At 40.1% G+C, this 25,232-nt stretch overlaps 1 protein-coding gene across 4 annotated transcripts in view; it reads right to left on the bottom strand.

The window, feature by feature from the left end:
* Positions 1–19,965, bottom strand: part of ZNF727 (zinc finger protein 727) — a 39,906-nt gene extending 19,941 nt beyond the window's left edge. For all 4 annotated transcript variants that reach the window (XR_242241.4, XR_927469.2, NM_001159522.3 and 1 more), the window contains exon 1: positions 19,775–19,965. Coding sequence is in view for 2 of the 4 variants with exons in the window: in NM_001159522.3 (NP_001152994.1) it covers positions 19,775–19,777 (3 nt within the window). In the remaining 2 variants the exon portion in view is untranslated. The remainder of the gene's footprint in view (positions 1–19,774) is intronic.
* Positions 19,966–25,232: the final 5,267 nt, after the last annotated feature.

Genomic DNA, 25,232 nt, shown 5'->3' with positions numbered 1-25,232 from the left:
TAAATAAAAACCAAAATATGAGTTTCCCCTTTCCAACACTCAGTTGCCCTTCTCTGCCACAGATGCCAGAAATTTCTACTGCAGCAATGAGAATATGGGCCGCAGTGACCTGCCCCTACCAAACCTAAGCAGAGCAGTCTCTATGATCTTTATCTGGGACTAAAACTAAACTCACCTCTCGTGAAAGTATCTGAAAGCACTCGTGGTTGACCCTGGGCTCACCTTAGCCTCACATGTGGCACTTAATTCAAACAACATGGCTGCAGGGGGGAAGTGGAGCAAGATGACTAAATAGCACCCTCCAGCAACCATCCCCCAGATAAAACACCAAGTAGAATGACTATCCAAATAAGAAGCATCTTCCTAAGAACCAAAACTCTGGGGAGCGATCACAGGACCTAGTTTTAGCATCACATGAAAGAGGCACTGAAGAGGGTAACAAAGCTGTTAATTGCCAATAGCAGCCCTCCTCCATTCCCTGGAAATGCACCTTGGCAGAGGCAGAAAATCCATGGGCTTACAAAAGGGAGAGTGCAGTAATTGTGAGACTTAGCAGTAAAACTCAGTGCTGCCTGTCACAGCAGAAAGCAACATGGGGCAGAATTCAGCCAGAGCCTGCAGAGGGAGCACTCAGACTAGCCGTAGTCAGAGAGGAAGTGTCCATTTCAGTAATCAAAACTTTAGTTTCAGGTAGCCGCATCACATGGGCTAAAGCACTCTGGGGTTCTAAATAAACTTAAAAGGTAAGCCACTGGGACTGCAATTTCTGGGCAAATCCTGGTGCTTTGTGAGATGCCAGCTGGGATGGCCAAGAAAGTGCCTGCATCATCCTTACCCCAGGCACAGGCAGTGCAGTTCACAGCTCCAGGAGAAAATCTTTCTTTCTACTTGAGGAAAGGGGAGAGAAGAGTAAAGAAGACTTTGTCCCGCAGCTTGGACATCATCTCAGCCACAGTAGAATACAACATCAGAAAAAGCTCTGAGGCCCCCTTTCTAGGACTTAGTTCCTGGGTGACAGTTCTAGACATACCCTGGGCCAGAAGAGAACACACTGCCTTGAAGGGAAGGTACCAGTTCTGGCAGGATTCATCACCTTCGACCTTGAATAAACATCAGCAGTAACCAAGTAGTACTTCTTGCAGCCCTTGGGGGTTGAGGCCTAGTGCAGTGCAATCCAAGCTGTGGCAGCCATGTGGAGAGACTGCTGCTTGAGGAAAAGAGAGGGAAGAGTAAAAGAGACTTTGTCTTGAAGCTTGATTACCAGCTCAGTCATAGTGAGGTAGCAGTAACAAGATAGCTCCTGAGGTCACTGATTTCAGGCCTTGGCTCCTGGATGACATTTCTGGAACCACCCTGAGCCAGAGAAGAACCCACTGCCCTGAAGCAAAAGAAGCAGGCCCAGCAGAGTTCACCACAAGCTGACACAAGATCCCTTGGGTCCTCACTGGATATCAGCAGTAGCCTGGAAGTACTTACTGTGGGCTCTGGGTGGTGGTGACAATGGGGAATGGCTTCTTACGCTTGAGAAAGGAGAGAAAAGAGTAGGAAGGATATTGTCTCATGGCTTCGGTGCCAGCTAAGCCACAGCAGAATAGGGCACCAAGTAGATTCCTAAGGCTTCTGACTCCATGTTCTTCCTACCAAATTGCATTTTGCTACCCCCAGCCCAGGGTGGGTAAGAGCTCACTGCCCTGAAGGAAAGGATATGAGCCTGGCTTGATCCACCAACTACTGACTGAAGAGAACTTGGTTCTTGAGTGAACATCAGTAGTAGCTAGGTCACTGTGGGCCTTATGTGAGAGCCAGTCCTGTGCTGGCTTTGGGTCTGACTTAGTGTAGTCCTAGTGATGGTGGCCACAGGGGTGCTAGTGTTACACCCACTCCAGCTCCAGGCAGCTCAGCATGCAGAGAGAGAGAGATTCCATTTATTTGGCAGAATGTAAAAAAATAGAAAAAGAGTCTGCCTGGTAACCCAGAGACTCTCTTGGATCTTACCTATGACCACCAAAGTGGTACCTCTACAAGTCTGCAAGCATCACAGTGTTATTCAGGTTGGGGTGTCCCCTAATGCAGATATGACTGCAATGATCAAAGACTTAGATTACAACACTCGATTCCCTTTGAATACTTGGAAAGCCTTTCTAAGAAGGACAGGTATTAAAAAGCCCAGAATGCAAAAACTAAAATAAATACCTAACTCATTAATGCCCAGACATCAATGAACATCCACAAAAATTAAGACTATTCAGGAAAACGCAACCTCATAAAACTAAATAAGGCACTAGTGTGCAAATCCTGAGACAGAGATATGTAACCTTTCAGACAGGAAATTCAAAACAGCTGTTTTGAAAAAGCTCAGCAAAATTCAAAATAACAACAAAAAAAATAAGAAATTCGGAATCTGATCCAATAAACTTAATAAATTGATTAAAATCATTTTGAAGAATCAGGCAAAAATTCTGGTGCTGAAAATTCAAATGACATTGAAGAGTGCATCAGAGTCTCTCAACAGCAGAACTGATCAAGCAGAAGAAAGAATTAGTGAATTTGAACACAGGCTATTTGAAAAGATACAGTCAGATGAGACAAAAAAAAAATAGCCTCAAGAGGGCAATTCTAAAAGTTATGGCCTTCAAGAGGAGGTAGAGAAAAAGTTCTGGGTAGAAAGTTTATTCAAAGGGATAATGAGAACTTCATATATATATATATATATTCAAGTACAAGAAGGTTATAGAATGCCAAGTACAATTCACTTAAATATGACCACCTGAAGGTCTTTAATAATAAAACTTTCAAAGGTCAAAGATAAAGGTTTCTAAAAGCAGCAAGAGAAAAGAAACAACATTCAAACAAGCACCAATATGTTTGACCATGGACTCTTCAGTGGAAATCTTACAGTCAAGGAGATGGTGACATGACATACTTAATGTACTGAAGGAAAAAACTTTTATCCTAGAATAATACATCCAGCAAAAATATCCTTCAACCATTAAAAAAACTAACAAGCTGAGAGATTTTATTAACACCCCCAGACCTGTCCTACAAAAATGCTAAAGGCAGTTCTTCAATCTAAAAGAATAGAACATTAATGAGCAATAAGAAAACATGTGGGACAAAACTCACTGGTAATATGAAGGACACAGACAAACACAAAATTTTCTAGCACTGTAAATATGGTATGTAAACTATTCATATTTTGAGAAGACTAAAAGATTAGTCCATACTTATAATTATTAAAAAAAATAACTCTTTCTCTACCTCCTTAAGGCCATAACTCTTATATTTCTACTTTTGAGGCTTAGTTATTCAAAATACTAACTACACAAGTTTAAGACATAGACAGCATAATAAGATATAAATAGAAACGACAAAATGTTAAAAAGTTGGGAGATAAAGTTAAGCTGTATTTTTTATTAGTTTTCTCTTTGCTTGTTTGTTCATTTTTATAAGTGTTAAGTTGCCATCAGTTTAAAATAATGGGTTATAAGATGTTATTTGCAAGCCTCATGGTAACCTCAAATAAAAAAACTTATAATAGACACACATACATAAAATCAAAAAATAAAAAATAAAACACACCACTAGATAAATCATCTTTACTAAAATAAAGACAGGATAAATGGGAGAGAGAAAAGGAGAGAAAAAGAGAGAGAAGATACTACAAAACAAGAAATCAGATAACAGAATGGCAGATGTGTCTTTATTTATTAATAATAACACTGAATGTAAATTAAGTTAACTCCTCAATCAAAAGACACAGATTGGCCAAATGGGTAAAAATAAAAACGAGACCCAACAATCTGTTTCCTACAAGATACATACTTCACCAATAAAGACACAGAAAGACTGAAAATAAAGGGATAGAAAAAGATACTCCATGCAAATGGAAACAAAAAAAAGAGCAGGGATAGCTATACTTATATTAAACCAAACAGATTTCAAGAAAAAAAAAACTATAAAAAGAGAAAACAAAAGTTATATTATAAAAAAGTGGTCAATTCAGCAAGAGAATATAACAATTGCAAGTTTATATGCACCTAACACTGGAGAACTCAGATACATGAAGTAAATATTAGAGCTAAAGAGAGAGAGATCAACCCCAATACAATAATAGCTAGAGACTTCAGCAACCCACTTTCAGCAGCAGACACATAATCCAGATAGTAAAATCAACAAATAAACATTGGACTTAATCTGCACTATGGACCAAATAGACCTAATAGATATTTACAAAGAATTTCATCAAAAAGCCACAGAATACAAATTCTACACCTCAGCCCCTGGGTTATTCTCAAGGATAGACCATATGTTAGGTCACAAAATAACTCTTAAAATAAGCTCTCCCCAAATAAAATTATATCAGGTATTTTCTCTGACGATAATAGAATAAAACTAGAAATCACTAACAGAAAAAACTTTGGAAACTATACAAACACAGAGAAATTAAAATATGCTCCTGAATGACTGGTGGGCCAATACAGAAGTTAAGAAAAAAATTTAAAATGTTCTTGAAAGAAATGAAAAACATAGCTATGAATAAGTGAAAGAAGTACTAAGAAGGTTTATAGCAATAAGTGCCTACATCAAAAAAAGTTTAAAAAAAAACTCCAAATAAACTATTGATGTATCATATAGAACTAGAAAAGAGCAAACCAAACCCAAAATTAGAAGAAAAAAATAAAAATTACAGCAGAAATAAATGAATACAAAACAAAATATCAAAAGATAAACGTAATGAAAAGTTAGTTTTTTGAAAAGATAAACAAAATTTACAAAACGTTAGCCCACTGGCTAAAGATCTGGGATTCAGGTTCCCATGGTGTTGGAATTACTTTCAGGTCTGAAGGTGCCAAGTGCATTGAAAGATGGGGCTGGAATGGCTGATTGCTCTGCTGTGAAGCTATTTTTCTACAAATCTGGCTGAACTGCTCTGGAAGGGACTGTGTATCACAAATAGGCACAGAAATATTCTGCCTGCAGATTTTGGGGCAAGCCAAAGAGAGAAAAGCCTCTCTGAACTAAAGCCTTGTGCGTATCTCTGTGTTTATATCCTGTCTGGTAATTCTGTACAGTGTTTGGAAAGCATAATTAAAAACAAAATTATCTCCAACCTCAGAGACACTCTAAAATGGTAGAAGAAAATTGTTTTATTACATAATTAAACCAGAATGTGATATGCATCATAGGCAATCTGCTCAGATTACAAAAGCAGAAATAAAAATCACCATATTTAGTCTTTAAGTAGAAGACTTAACAGCATACTCTGTCATATATAGTTTATCCTAAATAAAACTATTAATTGAGAAGCCTATCTATATATTGGGTATATTCAATGAAAATTTAAATTGGCTATATTCAAAAGCAAAATAAGCTTTCCTTGGCTTCATAATATTTTATGAAGTTACCTACTGTCCAACAGAAATGTAAACCATTTACATTTCAAAGCAATGGTTTCCAGGTCCTAGAGAAAGACATTTCTAATTTAAAGAGACTGACAAAGTCCTATTTACCTATTTAAATGATTTACATATATTTAATAGAGACAAAACAAATTTACATATAAAAATTTTCTAAAATTATTTTTAAAGAGGAGAGCAAAATGTCTTTTATCTTCAAGTTGGATAATTAAGTCTGGTATTTATAATTTGTATTTGCCCTTATAACAGCCAAGTCTAAGGCCATGACCTTGAACTCATGGACATCTGATTTCCAGTAGGCATTTGAATCAGGCACCTGAGGAGTGGCATTGGGTACAATTTGTTCTCATGAAAGAGGGTTTAGTCAGGAAGTAAAGGCAGAAGAAAGATGTTATGAAGAACTGTTAATCTGAAATAATCTGAATAATCAATAAGGCCTCAACATCCAGTTTTAGAGAGTTTATTCAAGTGAAAAGCTAGAAACAGTCATCCAGGAGACAAAGGCTCTAGTGAAATGAGATGAGTGCTTCATAGCTGAAAGTTAAGTTCTTATTTCTACAGGCGAAAAACAAAGAAATTTAAGAAGACTACAAGTTTCTATACAAGGCTGGTTAAAGATTTACAAAAAAATTAATCAGTTACACTGTATTTTTTCTACCTTTTTTTTACAACTGGTTTTTCTTTCCTTTTCAACCTAAGAGTGTATTTAACATTTTCATCTTAAGACAATGCAATAGCCAGCCAGGTGCGGCGGCTCATGCCTGTAATCCCAGCACTTTGGGAGACTGAGGCAGGCAGATCACAAGGTCAGGAGTTTGACACCAGCCTGACCAATATGGTGAAACCCCGTCTCTATTAAAAATACAAAAATTAGCAGGGTGTGGTGGCATGCACATGTAATCCCAGCTACTCAAGAGGTTGAGGCAGGAGAATCACTTGAACCCGGGAGGCGGAGGTTGCAGTGAGCGTAGATCGTGCCACTACACTCCAGCCTGGGCAACTGATCGAGACTCCGTCTCAAAAAAAAAAAAGACAATGCAATAGCCATAAGCAATAGGTTAATCTATAATGAAAGTCAATAGTGAAGGGTAAAGAGGTCTTCCATGGGGCACTTCAGCCGTTTACAACACCTGACAAAAGAATACAGATGTAGACGTAGGTATAATCCATAAACAGAAAAACAAAGGTTACAGCTGCCTTGTTACTGCTGCCTGTCGTATTACCCAGATCTTGTGTTTACATTCCTTTGAGGCCTGGAATAATTTAGAATATCAAACAGCTTAAATTTTGAATTATTTAGTTTTACAGGACCTATGGGCAGGGGAAAATCCAGAGTTAGTAGAAAGACTAACTTGTGCTACACAGATGGTGGCTCAGAAAGGGTTAGGCTCTGGCTTATTTCTGTGTCTATGCAGGTAGAAGAGACTATGATCAGGTGACTCAGAAGCCCAGTTGAGTGGATGCACCAGGTTTAGGGTCTGGGGACAGGGATAAGTCTAAAGTCCTCTAGGCCCTTGTATTTGGCTGAAAACTCTAGGAGCAAAGAAAATGTAGATGCAATTTGTGAGCATGGAGATTAGTCCTAAGAGGGTTGTGAGCAAATTATTATATAGTGTGCATGTGTCCAGGTGGGCAGAATCACATACTGGTAGCTAAATGGGAGAAGGAGTCTGACCTCATAACTCACTTCCTATGTGTCCTCAGTTCCTGTTGACCTTGGGAGAAACATGGCATCACAGAACAATTTACAGTGTGACAGTCTGTGTGCACTAGAGCAGAACCTCCCTTTTCTGAGACACCTGGAGTCTCCCTTCAGCCCAGGGCCTGCCTGACACATGCTGAGTAACTCACAGGCACGCACATGTCCTTGGCTTCTGTTACTTGTTGATGATTGACCCAAGTGTCAAAAACATGAGCAAAACAACTCCATTTTCTTTTGAGTAACCCAGGGCATATTGTGAGAAGTTATTATAGCATGAGCATGAAGATGCTTTTATCCCAGCTTTGTTGGAAAATTAACAAATCAAAAACAAAAAAAGAAAATGAACAAAATCAGCAACAATGGATATGTGGTAGGAATAGATGGAAGCCTTTGACAATTATGCCATGAATCTATACTTTATTAAGTAATAAAGGAGAATATAACTGCATTAAGAGATCAGATTATGATGTTTTCAAATAGTTTGTGGGTATGTGTTTACTATGAATTTTTGTACCACAAATACCCCTGCTTTTAGGTATTTTTTTTTTTTACTTTTTTAAAAAAATCAACTTTTATTTGAAGTCCTGGGTCACATATGCAGGATGGGCAGGTTTGTTACATAGGTAAATGTATGTCATGGTAGTTTGCTGCATAGATCAACCCATCACCCAGGTATTAAGCCCAGCACCCATTCGCTGTTCTTCCTGATGCTCTCCCCGCCCCCTGACAGGCCCCAGGGTGTGTTGTTCCCCCAAGGTGTCCATGTAACTCATCATTCAGCTTCGACTTATTAGTATGAGAGCATGCAGTGTTTGGTTTTCTCTTCCTGTGTTAGTTTGCTGAGAATAGCAGCTTCCAGCTCCATCCATGTCCTTGTCAAGAACATGATCCTTTTCCTTCTTACGGCTGCATGGTATTCCATGGTACATATGTACCACATTTTCTTTATCCAGTCCACTGTTGAAAGGCATTTGGGTTAATTCCATGTCTTTGCCATTGTGAATAGATTTTTGTTTTACTTTTTAAAACAGTATACTGCCTAAGGTTAATTAAAAAATACATTGTAAAAACATACTTAGAGAGCACTGAACCTATTGAAATGTAATCATAAGTGTTTCATGCTCAACAAACTGTAGTTTAATATTTGTTATAAATAATTCTTTGGGGGCTGTTTCAACATTTCTTATCTAGTATTTTTTAAATGCTTATTACTTCAAATGAGTGCTCATAATATGGTAAAGATATAGGAGATTTCAAATAAAAAAGAACTCACAGAATTTACATGTTTTGAGGAAAATGTCATAGCTATAATTGGTTAGAATTTACACAAAGGCAGATGTCTTTATACAAACACATACAACAGAAAAGCAGAGCAAAACTGTGGTTTGCACCAGGCAAGATAAGGAAAAAAGGAGCTAAAGAAGGGAATCCTGATAAACAGTGTGGTTAAAGACTGTAAGTTTAGGTGGCCCTAGAAAGGCCTTACTAAGAATTAGGAGGTTTTAGTAATTAATAGAGAGTGACTAAGTAGTTTTGTAAAGAGTAAACAGAAAGATGTACATTTTTTGTAGGATGAAAATGTTGATGCTCCTACTAAATAAACTATTATCTAATCTATTCCAATAATTGACATATTCTTATTACTGTTACTCAGTTAACTACACTGATAAATATTTTAATTTTCAAGTCAGGATATTACTGCCTCTTAACATACTCAACAATAAAATAAATAATATGTTATTATTTCTGTTTCACAAATGAGAGCTGTGAGACACAAAGAGCCTGTGTAACTTATAAAAGTTGACTTTTTAATTGTTGGGATAAGTTTCAGGCCATTTTTAAAGCCAACTTTTTTCTCTATTAGATGTCTTTTGTCACATTCTCAGCTGTAATTTTAGAAATGTCTATATCTTCACTCCTGCTCACACTGTATTTTGATGTCACGAGTTACTATCTTAGCACTTCTTAGAATAGTGCCTGGCATATCGTACATAGCCTTATCAAACATGATTCCCAAAGGAAAAAAATAAAAACATAATTTCTACTTTTAGATGATATCAATATACCTAGCAACCCAAGAGATTCAACAAATACCAAGATTTAGCATAGTGGCAGGATATAAAATAAACCTGTTTATAAAATAAATATAAAAATCAATGCTCTATCATATTGAAATACCACTTCACACACATGACAATGGCTATTACACAAAAAACAACATAATCCCTAAAAGAGCAAGTGGTGTAAAGAGGAGGGAGAAATTAGAATGTTTTTTAACTCCTGGTGCAAATGTAAAATGGTGCAGCCACTATAAAAACAATGTGGACATTTCTTGAAAAAAACAAACATAAAATGAACATTCTTCTATTTAGAACATAGAATTATATGATCCAGCTATTTCATTACTAAATATATATCCAAAAGAATTAAAAGCAGGGGATTGAAGAAATATTCGTATGCTTGTGTTTATGGCAGCACTATTCACAATAGCCAAAAGCTGGAAGCAACCCATGTCTTCAGCAATGAATAAACAAAATGCGTTATTTACATGCAATGAAATATTATTAACCCTTAAAGGGGAAAATAAATTTGACACATGCTGAACCTTGAGGACATTATGCTAACTAAAACAAGCCATTTCCAAAAGAACAAATACTGTATGACTCCACTTACATAACTGACCGAGAATGGTAGAATTCAGAGAGAAGGAAAGTAGAATGGTGGTTATAAGACAGTGGACAATGGGAAATACATAGAGTTTCAACTTTGCAAGACAAAAAGAATTATGAACATCAATGGTGGTTATGGTTGCAAAACAGTGTGAATATACTTTATTGTCACTTTATGTACACTTTTTTTTTTTGAGATGAAGTCTCACTCCGTTGCCAGGCTGGAGTGCAGTGGTGTGATCTTGGCTCACTGCAACCTCTGGCTCCTGGGTTCAAGTGATTCTCCTGCCTTAGCCTCCTGAGTAGCTGAGACTACAGGTACACACCACCAAATCCAGCTAATCTTTGTATTTTTTAGTAGATATGGAGTTTCACCATATTGGCCAGGGTGGTCTCAAACTCCTGACCTTGTGATCCGCGAACCTCAGCCTCCCAAAGTGCTGGGATTACAGGCCTGAGCCACCATACCCGGCCTATGTACACTTAATAATGGATTAAAATAATATATTCTATGTTATGCATATTTTACAATATTATTTTTAATAATTTTCATATAGAAAACCAGTGAAAATTTAGCAAATATAATGAGGGGGAAAAGATGACATTACCAAAGCTACAATAAATACATCTAGGAGAAAATTTTAAAGAGATATGTAAAACATATAAAAGAACAACCTTAAAATACTTTAAAAGACACAAAAATCACCTAAAAATTTTTGTAACATCCTAGAGACATCAATTTTAACACAATTTTAGGTATTTAACACAATAGACAAAAAGTTGATGAATAAAGGCAGTTGGCTCATAAATTTGAAAATAATATCATAAAAATGGAAATGTACACTAAGACTACAGAGAGATATCTATTTTTACATCTCAGTTATAAAAAATTCCACAATATTCAGTGATGCTGTAAAAAACAGACAATCCTGTGCAATCAAATTAGAAGAGAATATACAAAATACCTAAGCATTAACTTTGAAGCCTGGAAACTCAATTCTATGACTATACCGTGCAACAGAGCTTTACAAACATTAAACAAATATTTCTGAGGTTATTCCCTGTGACCTTATTTGTCATAGCAAAATAACAGACAGAGCAGCTATGTTTATTCACAGGGCAAAGGGTGAATAGTCTCATGCCACCATCTATATTAGAACACTCAGCAGCTATTAAGATAGAAGAGAGAGACCTCTATGTGCCTGTAGGGAGCCTTGGTCATAGCATATCGTAAAGAGCTGTGTCAGTGTGAGGATGCGATTATAGCAAGAAACATATATTGGTCTCTACCCCAGCAAGTTTAATTCCTGAGGTTCTAAGCAACCTCATCTTTCTCTCCTTTTGAAGACAAACCTGAAGATGAGTTTTTCTTTCACTGCATAGACCAACCAGAAACTGAGGTGTGCTTTCAGACATGTGTGTGCATTGAGGGAAGGCCACCCTCACATCCAGGGCATGGCTTTCGTTGCAAGCAGAAGCCAGCCCAAAACAGCTACTTACTGAGAGAGCCTCTGCATATACTAATTCCTGCTGTACATCTGTGCCTCCCTCACAGAGCCTGGCAGCTCATGGTTAGGGTATTTATGCCCAGATGGGTGTTCCAGAACAGCCTTCTCCCCCTACTGCTTCCACCCCTGTGCTGGATACACATAATCTATTAACAATGAGAAATTAGACACAACTTTTTTATCTGATTAATGTGAGTTAACCTCTAAATAATTAGGCCCAGAGACACAGGAATGAGGAAGCAGTCATGTCCCGCCCACTCCGTGTATTAGTGTGTTTTCATGCTGCGGGTAAAGACATACCTGAGACTGGGCAATTTACAAAAGAAAAAGGTTTAATTGGACTTACAGTTCCACATGGCTGGGGAGGCCTGACAATTATGGCGGAATGCAAGGAGGAATGAGTGACATCTTACATGGATGGTGGCAGGCAAAACAAAAAAAAATGTGTGGAGGGGAACTTCTCTTTTTAAAACTATCAGATCTCAGCCCAGTGCAGTGGCTCACGCCTGTAATCCCAGCACTTTGGGAGGCTGAGGTGGGCAGATCACAAGGTCAGGAGTTTGAGACCAGCCTGACCAACATGGTGAAACCCCATCTCTACTAAAAATACAAAATTTACCTGGGCATAATGGCACACACCTGTAATCCTGGCTACTCAGGAGGCTGAGGCAGGAGAATCGCTTGAACCCAGGAGGCGGAGATTGCAGTGAGCCGAGACTGTGCCACTGCACTCCAGCCTGGGGGACAGAGTGAGATTCTGTCTCCAAAGAAAAATCAACAACAACAACAACAACAAAAAACCTATCAGATCTCATGAGACTTATTCGCTATCAGGAGAACAGCATGGGAAAGACTTGCTCCCATGATTCAATTACCTCCCACCAGGTCCCTCCTACATGTGGGACTTCCAGATGAGATTTGGGTGGGGACACAGTCAAACCCTATCATTCTGCCCCGTACCCTTCCTAAATCTCGTATCTTCACATTTCATAATCAATCATGCCTTCTCAACAGTCTCCCAGAGTCTCAACTAATTTCAGCATTAACTTAAAAGTCCACAGTCCAAAGTCTCATCCAAGACAAGGCAAGTCCCTTCTGCCTACGAGCCTGTAAAATCAAAAAGCAAGTTAGTTACTTCCTAGTTACAATGGGGGTAAAGGCACTGGGTAAATACAGCCACTTCAAATGGGAGAAATTGGCCAAAACAAAGGGGCTACAGGTCTCACGCAAGTTTGAAATCCAGCAGGACAGTCAAATCTTAAAGCTCCAAAATGATCACCTTTGACTTCATGTCTCACATCCAGGTCACACTGATGCAAGAAGTGAGCTTCCATGGCCTTGGGCAGCTCCGCCCCTGTGGCTTTGCAGGGTATAGCCCCCCTCCTGGCTGCTTTCATAGGCTGGCATCCAGTGTCTGCAGCTTTTCCAGGTGCACGGTGCAAGCTGCAGTGGATTTGCCATTCTGGGGTCTGGAGGGCACTAGCCCTCTTCTTGCAGCTTCACTAGGCAGTGCCCCAGTAGGGACTTTGTGTGGGGGCTCTGACCCCACATTTCCCTCCTGGACTGCTCTAGCAGATGTTCTCCATGAGGAGGGCCACACCCCTGCATCAAACTTCTGCCTGCGCAATCTGGCTGGGGAGGCCTCACAATCATGGTGGAAGGCAAGAAGGAGCAAGTCATATCTTATGTGGATGGCAGCAGGCAAAAAAAAAAAAAAAAAAAAAGAGAGAGAAATTGTCCAGGGGAACTCCTGTTTAAAAAACCATCAGATCTCATGAGACCTATTCACTATCTGGAGGTGTTAGGATGAGTTTCAGTGATGTGTACCAGTATCACAGGGTCTTCCCAAAAGAAAAACACCTGCAGAGACTTTTAGCTAAGCTGGAAGGTAAACATAAGCATTGCTCACCCAGCACTATAATCACCAACTCTTGGGTGACACCTTGAGGAGTGATGCTCATACACAGCACACTTAGACCTGGTACACTGCTCTGGCCATGATCACCTTTGAAAAGTTTCTAAATTATGGAAAACTGATCATCAAAACCATGCCTTTCCTTCTAGGTAACATCCCTTAGAAACATAAGCTGAACTTATGTATAATACCTATGGAGCTTCACCTTGCAAATGCCTGGGTAAATGGACCGACATGACTTCAGATGACCCCAAAATGCAATGACAAAAATGAAGGTCTTTTGACAGTTCTAAATCAATATATTTCCATGCACAATTGGAAAAGGCAGGTTTTAGAATGAAATTTAATGAAAGGCCTTCTTTCTGTTTTGCCTGGCTAAATTCTAGTAAGAGATTTCAAAGTACATTTTACAATACATACTTTAACTTTTTCCAGTCTTTTCTCAGTCTCTAGGAGACGTAAATCTTACCATGTATTTGAAATGTTAACATCCAGAGAATTAGCAAAACAGCATTCCAGCTAAGATCAAATTGGGAAAAAAAAATTGAAGTTTTTTAGACCAAACCTCAAAATTTTATTTCAGTGAATATCTCTAGCTTAGGCAAAAAACATTACCCACATAATAATTAATTAATAATGTATTTGTTTTTATTATTTTATTATTACTCTTGATCTTTTGGAGTACACATTTGTAAACTTGTCTACTCCCATAGACAGCTTTTTTTCTCCTGTTTTACCAACCATTTCTTAAAATCTTGTGTCTGGCCTTTGTGGGCAGATGGTAAGCTGAGAAGCTGAGATACTAGAAAATACGACCTGAAAATATAGATTGTACCCCATTTGCGGTAAGCTGTGCTTAGGAGAAGTTTTGATTATACCAGAGCTACAATTTTTTTTGTTCTTTCTCTGAAGTTTTAAAGTCATACAGGATTTCTTGGATTTGGCCTCATGAATGTGTTGGTTTTTAGTCACTAGTTCAGATATGCCTTCAACTTAAAATTTCAGTTTATGTTTAGAGTGTAATGGAAACTTTTGTTGCTTTGTTTGTTTAGTCTCCTCTCCAGGACTAAATAAAACTGTATACTGTGGTTTGGAAAAAAGAAAACTATTTACTCAAAAATTCCAAAGATAAATGTTCAAATATTAAATAGTTTTAAATATTTTAAATACAGCTTTAAATAGTGATCACTCTATACCTCCAATAAACAAAAATGTCCCATCTCCAAAATTTCTTCTTGATGTAAATTTTAGAAAGAAAAAGTAAAGAAATGTTTTCTATTTACGTGGGTAAAATCTAAATTTAAAAAACTTAAAAGCTCTACAGTCAAAAGTCCATTTATTTAAAATTGACAATCAGGCTATATATACATACATACACACACACACACACACACACACACACACACACACATACATATGCATACATACACACACATATTATACATACATAAATTTGAGGCCTATGGTTTTTTCATATAAGGTCTTTTGTCAACTGAATTTCTCTCTCCCTAAACTGGTATCTCTATGTGCCTGTTTCTTCTCTTGCTGACATGATTTTTGCCAAGGATAATGTAAAACTTTACTGGCTGTTTGGAAAACAAAATCTCAAACTGTCTCATCTAGAATTAATTCTTCCATTTACTTCTATCTTTCTCATCTTCCACTTAAAACCTTTTGTCACTAAGGAGGACACCTAAAGGAAACTTCTAGCAGCCTGGGACCCCTTGAAGAACACAGATAAAGCGCCACAGGCTTCTCCTTCTTTGGCAGGGTACCTGTTTTTCCTCATGAAGCCCCGGAAGTTGTGGGTAAACAGGTTTTTTTGGGGCCTGAAGCTCTACTCCCTTTTACAATGAACTCCCTCTCTAGGGCTGTTAGATACAAACATGAGTAAGTTATATTTTGGGTCTACATGTATGTATATGTCTATAAATGTGTTTGTATATTATCTACATGGTACTAAATTAAAGATAAATAAGTTTTCATGAATTAAAAAAAAAGCCCAAATATTTTTCAAGAATATGTGAATTGAGTAAATCTTTTGGCAAATATGACTAGTTTGTTGATTTAATAAAAAACAGTGTCTTCTGACTTCTCAGCGAAATATATATATATAGAAAAATATATATATGTAGAAAGTTTATTGCTTTTATAACTTGTCCAATACAGTAATACAAAAATGGATAATAGAAAGTTTAACTTCAGATGAGTGTATTAGTCTAATGTTTCATGAGATTTTACAAAAATAATTAAGAATAAATAAATAAAACAGATGTAAATGGGACAAAAGCTTAAAACTTACAATACTAATTGTTTTGTAATGTGTTTAAATAGTTTCTCAAATCTTTATGGAAACTATAATCTTAGATTGTTGCTAACCTACATTAAATAATGGCTATTCATTAAACATCTAGATTATCTCTAAATAAGATAAAATGCTAAGATATTAATTTTTAAATATAAGTTTAAGCTAAATATTTTTGGTTTCTTCACAGAAACAAAAGATATTTAGATCTGTTAGTATGTCCTATTCCACATTAAAAATGTTTCCATTTAAAATCCTATGTTTCTAAAAATTATAAAATATATATTTCTAAATGTTTACTACATGACTAATAGTTAAAATTGCTTACTTCTCAGGCTTTCACTATATATTCAGATTACTAAAAATTAAAATTCTGGCTAAGATATAATAACTAAAACTATTGTTAAGGAGAGAAACAATTTTACATACAGAGTGTACAAGGAAAATAAGATGTGTTTCTTGGTGAAAAAAATTATTTTAGAAAGAGACAAGAGGATGTGGTTTTTCTTAAAGAGAAGGCAATCTTGCTGGGTTTAGAGGTTAAAGAATACATAAAATTGAAAGAATAAAAGATAAAGAAAATGAGGTAAATTCAATGGATATATAAAGTTGGAGAAAGAGAATAAAGAAAATTTTAAGGGGTTATAAAATGTTTCTAGAAATCTTATCTTGTATGGTCAGCTGACTGAGACTGAATACATCTGTTTATAAGGTTTTCTTAAAATTAGCTTTAATAATAATATAATAATACAAGAATAAAATTTGATTTTCTTTTTTAAACAAGATTTTTATGAAGAAAAAGATTTACTTCAAATTTGTTGGAAGGAACCATATTAGATTTTCTTGGCCAATACCTGTGCCACTAAATTGAAGACCAATATCTTTTAGAATATTTGGTCACCGCCCTCTCCATACATAGCTCTGCAAAAACCCAGCACTGGACAAATTCTCTCTAACTTTCTGCAGGCTTGGCCACCAATCTGTTTTAGATGAAGATTCTGTTTGAAAAAAATCTGCTAATTATCTGCCTGGCTTTCAAAGAACACCTTCATGCATTTTATTGGAAAAAATGCTTTTGCCTTGGTGAGGTGTCACTTCCCATGAACATATGATTTAAAATATTTTTATAAGCTTAGAAAGAATTACTGATAAAATTGTTGCATCCATTGCAGCTTAAAAACAAAAAAAGCTACTGATTTACTGGCTACAATTATACTAGACAATCATATTGCTTTAGGTTACGTATTACCTGAGCAAAGATATGTATGTATAGTGGCAAATACTTTTTTATTGTGTACACATAAATATTTCCTATGAAGTAGAAATTTTTCTAAAAAATAATGAGTTGCCCACTACCACAAATTCTCCACTCTGCACGAGACAGAAACTGATGTTTTCATGAATGTTTGTAATTTACGTGTTAATCTACCACACTTTCTTGTAAAAATGTATTTATTTTTCTGCAACCATCATGAGACAGACATTTCCTCTGTCTTTTCCCAGGTAGCATTCCCAAAGCTAAGCCCTGGGATTCTGTTTGAAATCATGCTAAAACAGAACAGACCTCAGAATCTTACTACATTCACTGTGCAATACATAAAAGGTAAATGAGAATTTTTAACCAATGGAATATAAACTATTTTTTTTCTGAAATCTACCTCTTTTCTCTTAGAAAACATTTGTGGTTTTTTTTAATCTTTCAAGCTCTAATGATAAAATCCATTTTACAATTAATGAAAAACTGAAGTTGAAATAACTGAACATATATATTCAAGGCAACAAACACGGGGTGAAGTAGTGCTGACTGGAACACAGATGTTTTAGACTCATGTGTCAATCACTTGAGAGATTCTCCCACCCCCATTCTGCTCACTAAAGTACTTGATCATCACTCTCCCAAAAGACACTGCACTTGCCCCCTGTGTGGCAGATGTGTATTTTGCTTTGCAAATTTATACACGCCCTCACTAGGGTGGGTCTTTCCTATACTTTGGGACAGTTATTCTCCTTCACAAGCCTGAGAGAAACCAGAGGGCAAGATGCATTTGTGCCTTTTTCCCTCAATACCAGCACCTGATTGGTTGAGCACCAATGTGTCTGCAGAAAGGAAAGCTAGGGTTGAGAGGGAAAAAAATCTTAATGTTAAAGCAGTTAGCTTTTTAGAGGAAGGGTGTATCAGGAAACTGCTCTCAGCACGAGGGCATCCAGCTGCTCCCCTGAGAGGCTCCACCCAATACCTCAGGCTCTTCTCTGAAAGGAGATGACCCAGGGGCTAATGTTTGCTAGACACTCCAAGAGACATGGTCCTTGTGGGTATCTTGGATCATCCCCAGAAAGCTGTAATACTTGGAACCAGGAAAATACAGGAGAGTGACTGAGGACACATCACCCTGCAAAGGATCCAAAGACATGCTGGGAAGGCGCGCGTGCCTAGAGAAGATGAGAGGAGATGCGCAGAGCGTCAGGTGATTACTCTCTGCTTTCCTGTTATGTGAAATGTTCACGAACAGACGAAATTAAAAAGAGCCACCTACTGCTCTCTTAAACAAAAATAAACAATTAAAATGCCACGTCCGTTTTGAAATTAAATAAAGGACTAATAGTTGATAATGTGATCTGGACAGGGATAGTCGGCATTGGGGAATGTGGGAAAGAAATTGGAAATGTAGAATTTTCTACAGTCCCTATAACAGTTAGGCTGGGAGAAGTTTTGGATTTGAGACCCTGCTTGCCAAACATTTGAAAATTGCAGACAAAACCAAGGACCCTGTAGAGCATTAAAATAACTAAATAGCTGGCAATTAGGCTGAAATGGCCATGATGCTCTGGGATTCTGCCTAAGGAAACCTAACTACGTCGAAAGAATTTCTTACAAATTACTAACTTTGAGAAAAAAAAAAAAAACACAAAACTTAGGCTTAACCAACCACAAGCTGCCAATAAAGCTCTAAGTACATAACCAGGACATTTCCACCGGATGGGTGCAAATGCAATACATAACTGTAACCAATCAAATACTGAATCTGGTTTGCTTCCTCATACCTCTTACAAAAGCCTTTTGTTCCAAGTCTCTCCTTTGAGCCCCCAAACCATAGTTGGATATTCTCTGATTCATAAATTGCTGTTTGTGCAAATAAACTGTTTGTATTAATCGGTTCTGGCATTACTATAAATGCCTCAGACTGGGTAATTTATAAGAAAGAGGATTAACTGGCTCATGGTTCCACAGGCTGTACAGAAAGCATAACACCAGCATCTGCTTCTGGGGGGGCCCCACCCAGGAAGCTTAAAATCCTGGTGCAAGGTGAAGCAGGAGCTTGAAAAGAAGGCAAGGGGGTTGCTATACACTTTTAAATAAGAACTTCAGGGAACTCAGTCACTATCGAGAGGTCAATACCAAGAGGAATGGTGCTAAACTATTCATGAGAAATTCACGCCCATAATCCAAACACTTTCCACCAGGCCCCACCTCCAACATGGGGTATTACATTTAAATAGGAGAGTTGGGCTGGAAAACACTTCGAAACTATATCCTAAAGATGCCTCAATTTAGGCTACGACAGTGGCTCATGCATGTAATCCCGGCACTTTAGGAGGCCCGAGGGGGGCGGATCACCTGAGCTCCGGAGTTCGAGACCAGGCTGAGCAACATTGCAAAAACCCGTCTCTACCAAACAAACAAAAAACAAAACCACAAAACCAGGCGAGGTGGCGGCGCATGTCTCCCTAGTCCTAGCTACTTGGGGAGCTGGGGTGGGAGGATCATCTGAGCCCAGGAGGTGGAGGCTGCAGTGAGCCGAAATCTTGCCACTGCACTTTAGCCTGGGCACAGAGTGAGACACTGTCTCCAAAATAAATAAATAAAATAAGCCACAATTTTTAAAAGGAGAAAGGAGGGACTGGGGACCCCAAGGCCCACTGCTTCTTCCACGGAGGAACTCCAGACCCTGAATGAGGATTCTCGTCTTATGACGTCCCCGCACAATCTGGAGGAGACTCGGGATTGCGACACAGAGCTGCCCAAAAAGTCTCTGGGCTGGAAAGAAATTCGCGTTTATGGACAAAACAAGACGCTCGGGTTTTGGCTGCAGGCTCAGCTCCTAATCTGCGACGGAGGGAAGTGAGGACTGAACTGTGCCCACGGGGACTCGGAGCTGCTGCAGAGCTGACCGCGAGGCCAAGATCCCACCGCAGCCAGTTCCGACCGGATTCAAACAGCCTCTTCCCCCTTCTCGGGACACCCACTCCGCGCACTCACCATTTCCCAGCCTCCGGATGTTCCGCCTTCTTCCCTATGGATCTCCCAGTACCTGCAGGTCACAGGATAACAGGGGCTATGGTGGAGTCACCGAGGAGCTAATGGAGCGGAAGAGATGGAATAGTACAGACGGGTACTGGACTCAGAGCCTAGAAGCTAGGAGACGAAGGCCTTGCCATATTGAAGAGCCCGCCTCTTCCTCTCTAGCTGCGCACCTGATTGGGCAGTTTTCACGCTAGCACCACTGATTGGCTGGGGTTCTCCGCCCCACACATTTAGACCCTGATCGACAGGAGATGTAATGAGACACTGGGCTGAATGAGGAAAGAGTGACAGGTTTTTGCCTGCAGCATGTTCAGGCAGCGATTTCTCCTTGTGTTGGGGGCCTGGCCCTGCCTGAGGGACATTTGTATTTAACGTTGTATATAAGATTATATCACTTTCTGATTATATTTACGTGTGTGTATATCAATTTCTGAATTATAGTTATGTGTATGCTGCAGGCCCTGTCTCAGCATCCTGTCTTTCCCTTTAGTTGCAGGAGATCAAAGTCCTCCAGGAGATGCAGCTGCACCAGCTGGCTGCAGACAATTATCACCTTCAGTCTGTGAAGCAATTTTGGGTCTGCTTCCAATTAATGGAGTGTCTCAGTGAGACTGAGAGGTGAGGGCCTAGCAGATTGGTTAGTGCCACTCACCCAGACCTCCCAAAACACCCTGTTTCTTTCCCACCAAAGCTGAGCCTGCCTGAGGACCTAAACAAGCATGGAGAACGAAGATGGGACCCTAGTCAGGGATAGTGCTGGGCTGTGGGGTAAAGTCAGCTGGGTCAGTGCCTCCAGGTGTGGGAAGGAGCCGGCCTCTTCTCTAGGGCCCTGGGCAAGTCACTGCCCTCTTTGGGCCTCTGTTTTCTTATCCAAAAAATGTAGGGATGATGAGACTGAGAGGGGCTAATGATGAGCTTCAAAGGAGAAAAGAACTTTGAGAGTGCTTGTGCCTGGCTCTTCCTGAGATGATGAGAACAATGGTGACAGCTACATATAACTGAGTCCTCACAAGGCCCAGTGAGGTAGGTGGTTCCCATCACACTTTCAAGTTGAGAAAACAGTCTCAGGGAGGCCTGGCTGCATGCCCAAGGTTCCACATACAGGGAGTGTTGGAGCAGGGAGTCAATCTAGAATCAGAACTTACTGGAGATGACAGGAGCATTGGACCAGCTTACTCACACCAGTTATCCAGGATACCAGGTCAGTGTAACTGGGCATAACTGGGTGAAGGGAGCATAGTATCACTGACCTTTTCTTTGACTCTGGCAGATGAAGACATCCACGTTGGCCACCCTGGAGACGAAACCACAGAGAGGCCAGATGAGGCTAAAGCAGCAAAAAGGCAGTGTCCCTGTGATGGGGAGGAGCTCCAGGGAGTCAGAGGGAAGAGCTCCTCCCTCACAGCCGGAGGCCTCCACATCAAAAGAGCAAGGGGCCTTTCTCCCGTAGCCCTTCCCTCCTGTGGCAACAGTCCCTGAAATGCCTCTATAAGACAAATCTGAGTAAAAGCCTGGAAGAGCTGGATTTGGGAAATAGTGGGGGCAGGGACCACATAACATTGTGACTTGTAAAAATCTCACCACAGAGTTAACATGGGAACATGGGGGTTCATGTTTTTGGAGGCCAGCTAGGAGGAGGGGAGAGAGTTGGGGAGAGGCAGCTGAGTGTCTTTGGCTTTTTCAAGTGGAAGATGTAGATAGGAGGGTCCAGGAGACAGGGGATTATGAGACTTCAGGGGACAGGCCTTGAATGGACACCCAAAATTGGATACTCATCCCCATCACCACCCGATGGCACAGGGTGTTGCCTCCATCCTGGGCACATTTTCCAGTTATCTGGTGATGGGAGACCCTGCCAGAAAGGATTATATGGATGGGAGTGAGCCTGGGATGGGCAGGGCTGGAACCAGGATCCTGAGGCTTGGGAAAAGAGAATCCAGGACTACACCCTTAGATCTCAGCACTTGGCAAACCTCCTCTCATGAGAGCCTCACGGCTGCCTCTGTGAGCTGAGGCATCAGGCCCCTCTTCCCTATGAATGTTGAAGATTCCACATCAGCCGTCAGTCCCTGTTCCCAGAGTGGTGAAGCTGCAGAGCTGCCTGCTTGCAAAGCTCAGTGAGGTTTGGCCTGAGCTGGACTCAGACTCTCCCTCAGGTGGTTCCAATGGAAGGAGAGTAAACTTAGACCTCTCTAAGGGCAGGCAGCTCATATAAGCCTGAGCACTTTTTTAATGGGAGCCTCCAGTTTTTCTGTCATCAGAGAGAGTTGGGGCGGGAGGTCCCTGAGCCTCAGCTCCCATTGTTCTGTTCTTTGAACCCCAGAACCTGCTGCAGACCCAACTCCTGCTTTGTGCACATGCCCTGACCCTGGTGGCCCTGGCAGTAATGCAGTATGAAGGGAGTGGGGAGGGGACCTAGTCTAAGGGTCTAAGGGGCCTTTCTAATGAACACTGGCTGTCTGACTTCCAGGGAAATGTGAATAACACCAAAAAAAAAAAAAAAAAAAAAGGAAGGTGAGTAGCTGGGGCAACACTGGGGGAGAGTGGAGAGGTAAAACTCACAGATGCCCCTGGGGAGAATACTCTGTGTATCTAACTTATTTATCTATTTATTTTGATATAGAGTCTTGCTCTGTTGCCCAGACTGGAGTACAGTGGCATGATCTCTGCTCACTGCAACCTTCACCTCACGGGTTCAAGCGATTCTCCTGCCTCAGCCTCATGAGTAGCTGGGATTACAGGTGCATACCACCACATCTGGCTAATTTTTTATATTTTTGGTAGAGATGGGTTTTCACCATGTTAGCCAGGCTGGTCTTGAACTCCTGACCTCAAGTGATCCACCTGCCTTGGCCTCCCAAAGCGCTGGGATTACAGGCATGAGCCACTGCACCCAGCTTAACCTTTTCAGTAAATCTAAGATGCAGAGGATGGAGCCTCTGCAATCTCAGATTTAGATTCCATCCTCTGCATCTTAGATTTATTGAAAAGGTTTGATACACAGATAAAGAGACCCATCACAATGGAGGGTGTGAGTAGGGGACTGAAATCAAAAACCAGTTCCTGGAGGAGGGGCTGTCTGTATCCAACTCTGAAAATAGGTTGGGGCTGCCTGGCATTAGAGAACAGGAAGAGGCCCTTAAGAGAAAAGCCCCAGAAAACAGCCCGTTACCTCTCTTCCCCACAAGTTCCCTTCAACATTTTTCACCCAGGTCCGGTTAGTAGGAAGTTTACTCTCCTTCCATTGGCACCACCTGAGGGAGAGTCTGAGTCCAGCTCAGGCCAAACCTCACTGGGCTTTGCAAGCAGGCAGCTCTGCAGCTTCACCACTTAGAGAACAGGGACTGGCGGCTGATGTGGAGTCTTCAACATTCATAGGGAAGATTCATAGATTCATAGGCCTGAAGCCTCAGTTCACAGAGGCAGCCGTGAGGCTCTCATGAGAGGAGGTTTGCCAAGTGCTGAGATCTAAGGATGTAATCCTGGATTCTCTTCTCCCAAGCCTCAGGATCCTGGTTCCAGCCCTGCCCATCCCAGGCTCACTCCCATCCACAAAATCCTTTCTGGCAGGGTCTCCCATCACCAGATAACTGGAAAATGTGCCCAGGATGGAGGCAACACCCTGTGCCATCGGGTGGTAATGGGGATAAGTACTCACTTTTGGGTGTCCATTCAAGGCCTGTCCCCTGAAATCTCATAATCCCTGTCTCCTGGAACCTCCTGTCCACATCTTCCACTTGTCCTTCCCTTTAGCTGCAGGAGATCAAAGTCTTCCAGGAGATGCAGCTGCTTCAGCTGTCTGCAGACAATTATCACCTTCAGCCTGTGGGGCAATTTTGGGTCTGCCTCCAGTTAATGGAGTGGCTCAGTAAGACTGAGAGGTGAGGGTCTAGCAGATTGTCAGAGGGCATGGAGAATATTTGTTTTGGGCCAGCTGCCAAGAGCCTGTGGCCATGGCTCCCTGGTCAGTGTCAGGCCCTGCTGCATGATGACCCCTGGGACCCAGCACTCCAGCTGGGCAGGCACTGGGAAGGAGGCCAGGGATATGGATTCTACTAGCCTCACATCTGCCTCTGTACTGTAGCTACAACCTGCCTGCCAGCTGGATCTCTTATCCCAGTAGTCCAGCAACACCACCCTCCTGGCCATGGAGAACATGCCATGATAAATCTTAGGGAACACTGAGTGCCTGGACCAGCAGGAGGAAAGTACCTTAGAGCTCAGTGACATTTGGGCTAGGCATGGGATCCGGGTGTCAGACAGCTACACTGGGCTTCCAGCTCCACCACTGAACAGCCCTGTGACTGGGGCAGAGGACTCACTACTATGGTACTTGAGGCCCCATTGTCATAAATACAATGCACACTGCCAATTCCTTTTTCTCATTTATCTGTTTATTTATAATCACCATGTACTACTGATCTCTGTTGGTGTTTTTATTCAAAATTAATAAGCATGTGATACGTTTTTATCATTCTTCCTCATGATTTCTTTACTATATGATTCCTCTCATGTGTGGTACTTAAGAGTAAATCCATAGAAACACGAAGTAGGAGAGTGTTTCCCAGGGGCTAGAGGGAGAATAACAAGGAGCTGTTGTTTAATGGGTACAGTTTCAGTTTCAAAAAATGGAAAATGCTTTTTATACATGGAAATTATGGTAGCAAATTAATGAGTGTCCTTAATTCATGTCAACTGAAACCTTTAAAATAGTTAAAATAGTTAGTTTTATGTGTAATTTAACATCATGTATAAAATTCTTTTAAATTTTTATATATATATTTTTTAGGAGACAGTCTTGCTCTGTTACCCAGACTGGAGTGCAGGATTGTAATCATCACTTCCTGCAGCCTTGAACTCATGGGCTTAATTGATTTTTCTGCATCAGCCATCTGAGTAGCTGGAATGACAGACACATGCCACCATGCCTGGCTAATTTTTAATTTTTTTGTAGAGAGAGGGTCTCACTATATTGTCCAGACTGGTCTAAAATTCCCAGCCACAAGTGATCCTCCTACCTTAGCCTCCTAAAATATTATAGGCTGAACATGTTGGCTTATGCCTGTAATCTCAGTGTTTAAATATCTGCAGCAACACTGATGAATATTACAAATGTGATGTACAAAAGAAAGTAGATGTAAAAATATACATACTATATAATGCCATTTATGTAAAATCCAAAAAGAATATAAAATTGAAGTTTTGGCTTTCAGTAATGGTGGAGTAGCTTGTTGAACAATACTCTTACAAATAACAATGGTAAAATCTGGATACAATGTCATATATTGTTATATAGAAACACACATCTATATATCATACATAGGATATATGTACAGATAAGAACTGAATGAGAATTTTAGCTGTGCCCACTGAAAGGGAGAAGGGTATCTGAATTTGAATCCAGCCAAATTAA

Source organism: Homo sapiens, chromosome 7 (assembly GCF_000001405.40).
Source record: "Homo sapiens chromosome 7, GRCh38.p14 Primary Assembly".
In the NCBI taxonomy this organism is placed as follows: domain Eukaryota; kingdom Metazoa; phylum Chordata; class Mammalia; order Primates; family Hominidae; genus Homo; species Homo sapiens.
Note: the sequence above shows the minus strand (reverse complement) of the source record. Positions and strands in the feature narration are given on the sequence as shown.